The 13,088-nt window shown below is 41.2% G+C and overlaps 1 protein-coding gene across 2 annotated transcripts in view; it reads right to left on the bottom strand.

The window, feature by feature from the left end:
• The window catches only part of VPS13D (vacuolar protein sorting 13 homolog D), a 282,018-nt gene that overhangs the window by 119,644 nt on the left and 149,286 nt on the right, over nucleotides 1–13,088 (bottom strand). For both annotated transcript variants that reach the window (NM_015378.4, NM_018156.4), the window contains 4 exons: nucleotides 12,808–12,916; nucleotides 9,249–9,428; nucleotides 7,031–7,144; nucleotides 6,070–6,219 (listed from right to left, as the gene is read on the bottom strand). In NM_015378.4, coding sequence (NP_056193.2) covers nucleotides 6,070–6,219; nucleotides 7,031–7,144; nucleotides 9,249–9,428; nucleotides 12,808–12,916 — 553 coding nt within the window. The remainder of the gene's footprint in view (nucleotides 1–6,069; nucleotides 6,220–7,030; nucleotides 7,145–9,248; nucleotides 9,429–12,807; nucleotides 12,917–13,088) is intronic.

Genomic DNA, 13,088 nt, shown 5'->3' with positions numbered 1-13,088 from the left:
AGGTCCAAGCGATTCTCCTGTCTCAGCCTCCGAAGTAGCTGAGACCACAGGCACCCGCCACTGCCCGGATAATCTTTGCATTTTTAATAGAGATGGAGTTTCACCATGTTGGCCAAACTCCTGACCTCAGGCCATCTGCCCGCCTTGGCCTCCCAAAGTGCTGAGACTACAGGTGTGAGCCACCGGGCCCAGCCAAGGATCTTAATATAGTCATTTATGGCAAAAGAAAAATAACATTTTTGGGTTGGATGCAGTGGCTCACACCTATAATCCCAGGACCCTGGGAGGCCTAGGCGGGCAGATGGCTCGAGTCCAAGAGTTCAAGACCAGCCTGGCCAACACGGCAAGATCCCTGTCTCCACAAAAAATACAAAAATCAGCCAAGTGTGGCACCACACACTTGTATTCTCAGCTACTTGGGAGGCTGACGTGGGAGGATCACTTGAGCCCAGGAGGAGGAGGTTGCAGTGACCCGAGGGAGGACCACTGCACTCCAGCCTGGGTGACAGAGCAAGATTCTTGTCTCAAAAAAAATATTTAAAAAAAACACAAAACATCTTTTGGGAGTAAAAGTGTTTATCCCCACTGCTTCACTTAACTAGCTGTAAAAAGCAATAAAATAAAATAAGATGTTTTGTTTGATCACATAGATTTACAGTTACCCAAATGAAAGATTTTATTTACAAATTAAAAATAAAAACAAAGGCTGAAGTGGGCAAATCACTTGAGGTCAGGAGTCAGAGATCAGGCTGGCCAACGTGGTGAAACCCCATCTCTACCAAAAAATATATAAATTAGCTGCATGTGGTGGTGCACACCTGCAAACTGAACTGGGTGCTTTCTGACCCACCCATCTAGCCATAAAGTGGGTCGTACACAGCAGCATTCCATCATCAAATGAAGTGGTATATATGTGATTGGGCTCGAGCAGGTCCTGAAGGCACAAGTAAGTTACATGAGGAAGTGGCTCAAATGCCTATGGTCTCCACTCCTGCCACCCTGCCTTCTCTCCCCTAGCCTGCACTGATGGCTTCATGGGGAATTCCCCATGATCAATTGACAGAGGAAGGGAAGACTAGAGCCTGGTTCACAAATGGTTCTGCACGATATGCAGGCACCACCCAAAAGTGGACAGCTGCAGCACTACAGCCCCTTTCTAGGACATCCCCGAAGGACAGCAGTTAAGGAAAATCTTCCCAGAGAGCAGAACTTCGAGCAGTGCATCTGGTCATGCACTTTGCATGGAAGAAGAAATGGCCAGATGTGTGATTATATACTGATTCATGGGAGGTAGCCAATGATTTGGCTGGATGGATGGTCAGGGACTTGGAAGAGCATGATTAGAAAACTGGTGACAAAGAAATTTGGGAATAGGTATGTGGATGGACCTCTCTGAGTGGTCAAAAACTGAAGATACTTGTATCCCATGTGAGTGCTCACCAATGGGTGACCTCAGCAGAGGAGGATTTTAACAACTAAGTGGATAGGATGACCTGTTCTGTGGACACCACTCGGCCTCTTTCCCCAGCCACTCCTGCCATCGCCCACTGGGACTATGAACAAAGTGGCCATGGTGGCAGGGATGGAGGTTATGCATGGGCTCAGCAACATGGACTTCCACTCCCCAAGGCTGCCCTGTCTACAGCCAGTGCTTAATGCCCAATTTGCCAGCAGCAGAGACCAACACTGAGCCCTCGATATGGCACCATTCTTCTGGGTGATCAGCCAGCTACCTGGTGGCAGGTTGATTATATTGTACCTCTTCCATCATGGAAAGGGCAGAGTTTGTCTTCACTGGAATAGACGCTTACTCCAGATACGGGTTTGCCTATCCTGCATGCAATGCTTCTGCCAAGACTACCTCTGTGGACTCATGGAATGCCTTATCCACTGTCATGGTATTCCACACAGCATTGCCTCTGACCAAGGCACTCACCTTACGGCTAAAGAAGTGCGGCAGTGGACTCATGCTCATGGAATTCACTGGTCTTACCATGTTCCTCATCATCCTGAAGCAGCTGGATTGATAGAATGGTGAAATGGCCTTTTGAAATCACAATTACAATGCCAACTAGATGATAATAGCTGGGGCAAAGTTCTCCAGAAGGCTATGTATGCTCTGAATCAGCATCCAATATATGGTACTGTTTCTCCCATGGCCAGGATTCAGAGGTCCAGGAATCAATGGGTGGAAGAGGAAGTGGCACCATTCATCATCACCCCTAATGATCCACTAGCAAAATTTTTGCTTTCTGTTCCTGCAACATTAGTTCTCCTGGCTTAGAGGTCTTAGTTCCAGAGGGAGGAACACTGCCACCAGGAGACAAAACAATGATTCCATTAAACTGGAAGTTAAGATTACCACCTGGACACTTTGGGCTCCGCCTAACTTTAGGTCAAGAGGCTAAGAAGGGAGTTACAGTGTTGGCTGGGGTGACTGACCCAGATTATCAAGATGAAATCAGTCTACTACTCCACAATGGAGGTAAGGAAGATTATGCATGGAATACAGGAGATCCATTAGGGCATCTCTTAGGATTACCATGCCCTGTGATTAAGGCAATGGGAAACTACAACAGCCCAATCCAGGCAGGACTACAAATGGTCCAGACCCCTCAGGAAGGAAGGTTTGGGTCACTCCACCAGGAAAAAATCCCACAAAACCATGACCTGATGAGGTGCTTGCTGAAGGTAAAGGGAATACAGAATGGGTAGTAGAAAGGGTAATCATCAATACTAGCTATGACCACATGACCAGCTGCAGAAACAAGGACTGCAATTGTCATGAGTATTTCCTCTTTCTTTTGTTAAAAACATGTTTGTGCATGTATACACTTGTACTAAGAAAATATCTTCATTTTATTTCCTTTCTCCTTCATTATGTGACATAGATTTATTGACTTCATATCAGCATTCAAGCATCATTAACTTTATGTAATAGTATTTGGGTTGGGGACTGGTGTGTTTCCAGCTGTACGAAGGATGGCTGTATTATGTTAGGTGTAATTATGACCTTATAATCTCGGCAGTTGACAAAGGGTGGACTTGTGATGGTTAATACTGAGTGTCAACTTGATTGGATTGAAGGATACAAAGTATTGATCCTGGGTGTGTCTGTGAGGGTGCTGCCAAAAAAGATTAACATTTGAGTCAGTGGGCTGGGAAAGGCAGATCCACCCTTAATCTGGTGGGTGCAATCTAATCAGCTGCCAGCAAATATAAAGCAGGCAGAAACATGTGAGACAGGCCTACCCTCCCAGCCTACATCTTTCTCCCATGCTGGATGCTTTCTGCCCTTGAACATTGGACTCCAAGTTCTTCAGTTTTGGGACTCGGACTGGTTCTCCTTGCTCCTCAGCTTGCAGACAGCCTATTGTGGGAACTTGTGATCATGTAAGTTAATACTTATATACATATCCTTTTAGTTCTGTCCCTCTAAGAGAACCCCGACTACACCAGTAATATTCTTTACTTTGAAATCTATTCCGTCTGATGTTAATCTAGTCATTCTCATTTCCTATGACAAGGGTCAACATGTTATATCTTTTTTCATCTTCTTTCCTTTTAACCTATTTGTGTCTTTATCCTTAATGTGTGTTTCTTGTAGGCAACATATAATTGGTTCTTGCTTTTTTATACAATTTGATAATCTCTGCCTTTTGATTACGGTGTTTACAACATTTAAATTTAGTTAATTGATACCATTAGGTTTGAGTCTACCATCTTGCTAATTATTTTTTATTTGTCCTATCTATTCCTTTCCCTGCTTTCTGTTTTCTGCCTTCTCTTGGATTATTTTTTTATGATTTCTTTTTTTTTTTTTTCCCCCTGAGACAAGAGTCTCCATCTGTCACCATGCTGGAGTGCAGTGGCACAATCTTGGCTCAATGCAACCTCCACCTCCTAGGTTCCAGCAATTCTCCTGTCTCAGCCTCCCGAGTAACTGGGATTACAGGTGTGTGCCACCACACCTGGCTAATTTTGTATTTTTAGTAGAGATGGGGTTTCACCACGTTGGCCAGGCTGGTCCCGAACTCCTGACCTCAAGTGATCCACCTGCCTTAGCTTCCCAAAGTGCTGGGATTACAGGCGTGAGCCACCTCACCTGGCCTAATTTCATTTTATCTCCTTTGCTGAATTATTAGTTATAACTCTTTGTTATTTTGGTGGTTGCTTTAAGAGTTTATGCTGTTTATCTTTATAATTCTACATTCAAGTGACATCATACCACATCATGTATAAGATTACACTAATAGACTTCCATTTCTCCCCTTCAGCCTTTATGCTATTGTTGATAAGAATCTCACTCTTACTTTAAATAAGAAGAAAATAATCTTATATATTTACCCAGGTAGTTATCATTTCTGGTATTCATTACTTTGTGTAGAACAGACTTCAATCTGATACTATTTTTTTCCTTCTGCCTGATGATGTTCTTTTACATTTTTTGTAGCATGGGTCTGCTGATACCTTTCAGTACTTTAAAGATGTTGCTCATTGTCTTCCCACTCTCATTGTTCCCAAAAAGAAATCTGTTGTCATTCTTATCTTTATTCCTTGGCACATAGCATGTCTTTTTTTTCTTGTTCCTTTGCTTTAACACTGGTTTTGAGTAATTTGATTATGATGTGCCTTGGTATAGTTTCCTTCACAGTTGTGTGCTATATTCCATCCAGTGTAGTTTTCATTACATTTTAATCTCTACAAGCTTTAGTTTTTTTATGTCTTCCATATTGCTACTTAACCTTTTGAACACAGAGAATACAGTTACATTAACAGTTTTAACGTCCTCCAAAAATTCTAACATCTGTGCCAGTTGTGAATCAGTTTTGACCAATTAGTCTCCCTACTTAACCTTTTGAACACAGAGAATACAGTTACATTAACAGTTTTAACGTCCTCCAAAAATTCTAACATCTGTGCCAGTTGTGAATCAGTTTTGACCAATTAGTCTCCTCATTATATAGAAAGTTTTCCTACTCCTTTGCACACCTGGTAATTTTTGATAGGATGTCAGATATTGTGAATTTTACCTTGTTGGGTGCTAAATTGTCATATTCCAATAATCTTCTTGAGCTTTATTCAAGGATATGGTTAATTTACTTGGGAAGAGGTTGATTCTTTCGGATCTTCCTTTTATGATTTCTTAGGCAGTCTATAGCAGTGCTCAGTTTAGGGCTAATTAATCATGAGGGCAAGGCTTTCCTGAGACTCTTCCCAACGTCTCATAAATTCTTAGTTTTTCCAGTCCAGCTGGTGGGCACAAGCACTATTCCTAGCCCTGTGTGGGCAGCAGGCACTGTTCCCTCTGATCCTTTCAGATGGGTAGTTTCCTCACATACATCACTGACTAATACTTGGCTAAATACTCAAGAGGGACGGTCTATAGATCTTCAGAGTTTTTCTGTGCAGCTCTCTATGCCCAAGTGTACCATCCTATAACTATAGATACCTTGGTCTCTCTAGACTCTCAGCTCTGTTTTCTCAACTTCTCCACTGTGCTGGGTACTTGCTTGGTCTCCCCTCCCTGGAAACGTTCTCAAATTGGTAAGAAAGGCAATTACAGGGCTCAGCTCGTTTGTTTCCCACCTGTCAAAGCACTGTCCTTCATTGTCTGATGTCCAGTGTCTCAATACCATTGTCTTCTTATTTATCTGGATTCTGGGGTTGTTTCAGGTGGGAGGGTAAATTTAGTCCCTGTTACTCCATCTTGACTGAAAGCAAAGTCCAGTTCTTTAGTTTGTTCTCCCTATGACAGACCTCAATCCCTCCGAATGATGGTTAGATGACTTCCTATTGGTTTTTCTATTGGCAAGATGGTGAACCATGGGTCACCTTCCTCCATGACACCCTGACTGAGTTACCTCTAATATATGCAGAATTCTGCTGTATGTAGAAAAATTAATGAGACGAATGTAGGTAGAAACAACTATTTCACAGAATGATTTTTTGAAGGCCACAAGATATTTCCTCCAAAACATTAAAGTTCTTAGAACATCAAACATTAGATCTGGTTGGGTGATCAGCATGAAAACAAGGTGACTAACAGCTTTGGAACTTCCCCCTTACCTGTACATCCTGTATGCTGAGTTCAAGCATGTGACTGGTTGCCAGCTGTGTATAGTGCACATTGATTCCTGTAAGACTTGCAAAGACCAGTTCTTCTGGGACTTTATTAATTAAGGACAACCCAATTCCACCTTCTAACCTCACAAGCACCTGAAAGGAAACCAAAATATGGCACCCTGATTGTTTTAAACACAGCTCACAGTATCCAGGAGAGTATAAGAAAATAAAGCATTTTACATTCCTCTACTCCCGATCTCTCAGCAGATGAAAACCACTTAGGGGAGTCCTATTATTTACCTGGAGGGCTCAAATGCTATCATCTCACTGGAAGCCTTGCTTTCTAGGCATACCCTTCACCCCAACGAGAACTCCAGAGTATGTGATGATACCTCTATCAAAGGACTGATGACATTCTGCATTTCATTATAGAAATCTAATTATTTGGTAATCTTTCACCTTATTTGGGATGAAAGCTCATAATCTGTTATCCACTACACTTCCATAGCACCCAACACAGTGTTTTACACATAGGCATTTGATTTTTTCAAAAATCACTGAATAAACGTCAGATAAATATACTTTTTCATGTTCATCTCATCTTCCTTTTCAAACTTGTCACTCTCCAATCCCAAACAGAGAAAACAGAAGGAAGATGTCAGAGATGGCTGAAGCAAAAAACAAAAAATTGTTTGTCTTAAATCTTACTGAAATTCAAACAATTTAGCTTCCTTTATTGTAATAATAGTTTAGCAATGCTTACTACATGCTGATTCCACATAAACTTTGTTGTCATTTACATAATACATTCACACATTCACTGATAAACAGTAAACACTGTGAAGCGTAACTCATATTTAGAATCATACAGGATAGAAAGAAAACAGAAGGTCTAAAATACCACCAAGTAAAATTCTAAAAAACTGATGATCAAATAAATAAATTCACAATATTTAGACCTTACTTCCAATTCCTGCTCTGTATCTGGATTCTTTAATTTCTGCAGCTCTTGTTCGGTGACAGGAAGTTCATCCACTTCATATGAACGGCTGCTTTTCCGGTGGCAGAAATCTGTTATCTGAAGTCAAATAAAACACCACAAGAAGATGATTCACTCTTCCTTATTGAAACCTATTCTAACCCAGAACAACTGTGTAGGTCAAAAGTCATTATATAATCAATAATCCTATGGAAGCGAATGGTTTCCAAAGCACTGGTAAGGTAAGATTTGTGTAATAAAGAAGCAAACTTGGTTTCAAGTCTGCATGGCAAACTCAAGCTATACACCTTGAGAGCCTCACGTAGTGGGGTTAGATATCTGCAGATGATCTCAAATTATAGCTCAAGTCAAAATATGCAAACCTCAAGATCACTGCATTCATTTTTGCCTTAAGATTGTTTTTTAAAGTGGTATTGTGAGCCGGCACAGTGGCACACACCTGTAGTCCAAGCTACTTGCGAGGCTAAGGTGGGAAGATCGCTTGATCCCAGAAGTTCAAGACCAGCCTGGGGAACATAGCGAGACCCTATCTCCACAAAAAATGAAAAGTAATTAGCTAAGCATGGTGGCATGCACTTAAGTTCCAGCTATTCGGGAGGCTGAGGTGGGAGGATCACCTGAGCCCAGGAGTTCGAGGCTATAATGAGCTATGATTTTGCCACTTCCCTCCAGCCTAGGTGAAAGAGAGTGACATAGCTAAATAAATAAATAAATAAATAAAAAGTGGTGTTGTGAATTGTGATGCACTATCTCAGAGAGCTCATTGCTACATTCCAACATCTTTTTTTTCCTTTGTTCTGATTACGCTATGACCTAATAAACCCTTATCCCCATCACAGATCTCTCCCCTGGGTTTCAGAGCCATAGTTACAATGACTTATGGACATCTTCACATAGATATCACACAGTTACCTTAACTCAACAAGTCCAAAACCTAACTCCTCCCTTCCTCTGCAAGTCTGCTCCATGTTCATCCCTTAGTGATCTGGATTATCATCCTGTGAGTTGCCCAAATCAGAACCTTGGAGGCCATTACTGACTCCTTCCTCTCCCTCATTCCCACATTCAGTCACAAAATCTGCCTGACTCTACTCCTAAGTAAGCTCTCATTTCTATCCATTTCTCTCCAGCCTCCTCATGTCCACCCCTGCCACTTCTTCCAGTTCAGGCCACCATAACCCTTCATTTACATTAGTGCAAGAGCCTCCTACCTGGTATTTCACTATCTCCAGTCTTGCCCCACTCTGCTTCTCTACATTGCAGCCAGAGGAAGTGATCTAAAACAATTTTCTAATCATGCCATTCCCTGACTCCTTGTTGCCTTAGAAAAACCACAAATTCTTTAGTATGTATCTCAGACTTTTTATGATCTGGCCCCTGCTTCTATCTCCAGCCTTCTTTCTTACCACATTCTGTGTGCCACTTGGGCTGAGGATCACTCTGCTACCTGTGGGCCTTCACTAGTCAACTTCCACATCGTATGTCATTTACTTCCTATGTTTATTGGTCAATGATGGTCCATCCCCACTAGAATGTAAGCTCCAAGAAGGCAGGGAGTTTTGTCCGTTCACTGGTAAATGTTCCGTACCTAGACCTGTGCTGGCTCAAGTAGCTGCTCAGTAAATACCTGTTGATGAACATGCTTATTACTGAGGGCACAGCCCCTCCACCTGTACCTTTCTATTTGGCTAATTCCTTTCAGTTAAACTCTAGGTCTCAGTTTAAGTACTACTTCTCTTAGGAAGCTCCCCACCCTCTAAATCTGGGAATACAAATCCTTTCCATACACCCTCCACTCCTACTCTCATTAACACAATATTTTAATTATCTGATTAAGGATCTCATATCTTCTTGTTGTTAATGTTATTAAGATATTATGTTATTAATAATAATTAACAACACTATTAATATGCACTGTTAACATTATCTTGTTTAAATCTTATACTTTTTTAGGTTACCACATATTTCATTGATACTTTGTTTATACTTTACGCTTATCTTTTTGTTGTACTTTAGTTCTTGTAACAACTTTGTGAGGTAGATCCTATCCCCATTTTACAGATGAAGATACCATATCTTCATATCTGGCATAAACATGTTCAATAAGTATTTGTTAAATGAGTAATCATTGGGGGTGGAGGAAGTACAGAGTTTCACATCAGCTCTTATGACAAATTATCACCTGGAGTGCTCTAGTTGGTCCATCTGGGATGACTCTGATGGATAACATTCCAGAACCAGGTCTCATTTTTTGATTAATAAATTGTTGTTCAGGTGGAACTGGCCCCAAAAGCTCCATGGAAGTGTCAGGACCAAGAACAACTTCAGCTCCATCAAACAAACCAGAAAGTCCTCCTTTGGCCTAAAAGACATTGGAGTAGAGACATGTGAGAAAAGACAGAGGCACTGACTTTGACAAGTTAACACATCATTTCAAACAAGTTCCTAAATTTACATTCTCCTCTGGAGGGTCATGATCAATGTGCAACAAAGCCTTTACTATTTGTTCAGCTTTGCAGATGATGAAAAACAGGAGAATTACTTCAGTAAGATGAAAAGTTATGCTCATAAATTTTGGTAATTATGAATAAGAGATAATTTCATGCATAGATCAGTTTAATTCTGCCTTTTACTAGTACTAACTTCTTGTCATTAAAATAAACTTCTAAAAAAGTAGCCAAAACTAGCTGTTTCTTTGAGTATTCTTACTAGGGTTTGCTTAAAAATCTGAAATATTCTGAAAATAGAAAATAATTATTATAATCATTCAGCTTTCCAGTAAGAGGAAAATTCTTGAGTTGAAAACCTCCCCAAACAGGCCTATGGCTGGACAACCAATCCAAATACTCAAAAGATGGTGTTTCTTCTAGAATGGAATACAGAGTTGAGAATGTCACCTGATACCCAGTTATTCAGGCTGTTAAAAGAAAAACTTCAAGCCAGGCGAGGTGGCTCAGCCTGTAATCCCAGCACTTCGGGAGGCCAAGGCGGGCGAATCATCTGAGGTCAGGAGTTTGAGACCAGCCTGGTCAACATGGTGAAACCCTATCTCTACTAAAAATACAAAAATTAGCCAGGCATGGTTGCAGGCAACTGTAATCCCAGCTACTCAGGAGGCTGAGGCAGGAGAATCGCTTGAGCCCGGGAGGCGGAGGTTGCAGTGAACTGAGATTGTGCTATTGTACTCCAGCCCGGGCAACAAGAGCGACACTTTGTCAAAAGAAAAGAAAAGAGGAAAAGGAAAAAGAAAGAAAGAAAAAGAAAGAAAGAGAGAGAAGAAAGGGAAGAAAGAAAGAAAGAAAGAGAAAGAAAGGAAGGAAGGAAGGAAGAAAGGAAGGAAGGAGAGAGAGAGAGAGAAAGAAAGAAAGAAAGAAAGAAAGAAAGAAAGAAAGAAAGAAAGAAAGAAAGAAAGAAAAGAAAAGAAAGAAAAAGAAAAAAAGACAGACTGACTGACTTCAGCCGAATTAAATTTAAAGGGGTTTAATTGAGCAATGAACAATTCACAAATCAGGCAGCCTCCAGAATCACAGCAGATTCAGAGAGACTCCAGGGATGCCTCGTGGTCAGAACAAATTTATAGACAAAGAAAGGGAAGTGATGTACAGAAGTTGGAAGTAAACAGCTGGATTGGTTACAGGTTGGCGTCTGCCTTATTTGAACACAGTCTGAACACTCAGCCATCTGTGAGTGGTGGAAGTATGGCTGCTGTGACTGGCCAAGTCTCAGCTATTGTTACAGGCACATACTCCTAAGTAAGGATTTCAATCTTGCCTGCCGATTACTCTAGGTTACAGTTGGTCCACAGGGATTCAATTATAGAAGTACGGAGTCCTTCTCAGGCCATATTTAGTTTGCTTTAACAAGGCCTTTGGAGGAAAACACCTTGCTACATGCCCCAAGTAAATCGAGTCTACAGGATTATGGCTGTGGGAAAGCAAACACAAGGCTAGAGAAGACAATGGCAAAGAGTGTCTAAATCCCCTTTGTTAACTTTTAAATATTGACTCATGAAAAGCAAACTTTGAGCAGGGTTTATAGTACAGGTTTCAACACAAAGAAAGCTTTTTATAGCTATTATAAGTTTAGAAAGAAAGAGCATATACAACCTAATAAGAGCAGTGTCAGAAAATGTTTTAATGTCTTCAATGACTTTATTCAGCATAATAAGATTGAAACAAGCTTACTTCCCTAACCAAAACACATTCTGCTCTGCTGAATACTGTTATTATACTGTCACTAACAAGCAGGGAAATGATGAAATAGATTCACAAAACAACAAACACCAAAAAAAGATTTTAAGGAAGAAAATGCTCCAAGAGCATTGGAATTACATGGGCTTTAGAAACAAACTAGAAGTGAAGTCAGGGTCAGACATGAAACCCACCAATTATAACAAGCCCTCTTTGCCTCTAGAAGTTTGAATTGTATTGCTAATTGAAAATCACAAATCCATTCCAGATGTGTGCTACATATAAGTAAGCAGCTTGTCTTTGATGAAAAAAGCTCAGGGCGATAGAGATAAAGAAAATAAATCTCACCAAAAGCAGTCAGAGGCTCCTTACAGTTTTTGCAAACTGCCCTGGAGTACAATCTAAGTACACTCAGAGTTCTCTATCAAGAGTCTGATAGTCTCCTGTTTCCCTTTTGTGTAAAATCCCAGGCTGGACAGAACTGCACACACAATTGCAGGTGCTAGTCTACTGCATGTCCAAACCTCCTAGACACCTTCCTACTTCTCAGACCCCTGTTCTCATTCCCAGCCTGAAGCCAGAAAGGGCAGAAAATCCAAACCCTTGGTAATTTGCCAAACACATATTTGCTTAGAAAGTAGCTGGGAGTTTATCATGAGGTAGACTGGCTGAGGAGGAAACTGTCCAGCAATCTTCATTCTGACATTTGCTACAGCAATTCAATGCTTATTTAGGCCAAAATGAACAGAATCAAGAGCATGTAGATGCCTGGCGAATGCTCACCATGTCATAGAACCCTTTACAGAGGACTTGCAGCTATGCCATTAACTTCCCAGGTCTAAATCTAATTCATCTAACTTAGTGCTGGACTTTTAAAATTACATAGGTAATTTTTTTCTTTTTAAAATTACATAGGTAATTTTTTTCTTTTTAAAATTACATTGGTAATATATGACATCAAAGAAAAAGTCCAGGTAAGCCATGAAAAACATATCTTATCATCCAGGGCAATCACTCTTAACACATGTATTGCATACCATCTCCAAGAACTTTTCCCATGTAAACATACACAAATGCGGGGCTGGGCGCGGTGGCTCACGCCTGTAATCCCAGCACTTTGGGAGGCCAAGGCGGGTGGATAACGAGGTTAGGAGATCGAGACCATCCTGGCTAACATGGTGAAACTCCATCTCTACTAAAAAATACAAAAAATTAGCCGGGCGTGGTGGCGGGCACCTGTAGTCCCAGCTACTCGGGAGGCTGAGGAAGGAGAATGGCGTGAACCCGGGAGGCGGAGCTTGCAGTGAGCCGAGATTGTGCCACTGCACTCCAGCCTGAGCGACAGAGCAAGACTCCACCTCAAAAAAAAAAAAAAATACACAAATGCACAACAAAACTCTGACTTCCTTTTAACTAAAATGGAATAGAATAAGTATTGCTCTGTAACTAGTTTTCCCACTGAACAATTCATCATGTATAACTTAGTAGAGACTTTGTTTCAAAGAAGGCTCAACCACTGCTTGCTGCAATTGGGGATCAAAAACGACTGACCTGGACGACCAACCCATGTAACCCACAGGTCAGTTTTCCTTCTCGGAAACTCCACGTCTGAGTTGTGCTTCGCCTGCGGTCAGGCTTTCTCAGCATCAGTGGCTCGTATCTGGAAAACGGAATACACAATGAACCATGAAACCTCCGAGTCAACTGTTTCACGCCTGAAGGGAACATGAGGATGATGGCTTTGCTCTTCTTCCTTCTAATGCCCTCCACCCTTAAAACTGAATGGGTAGTTAGCTTGAATCCTAGGGCAGTTAGGTATCTCTTGATAAGAA

The sequence above is a fragment of the Homo sapiens genome, chromosome 1, assembly GCF_000001405.40.
Source record: "Homo sapiens chromosome 1, GRCh38.p14 Primary Assembly".
NCBI lineage: Eukaryota > Metazoa > Chordata > Mammalia > Primates > Hominidae > Homo > Homo sapiens.
This window is presented reverse-complemented; position numbering and strand designations above follow the sequence as displayed.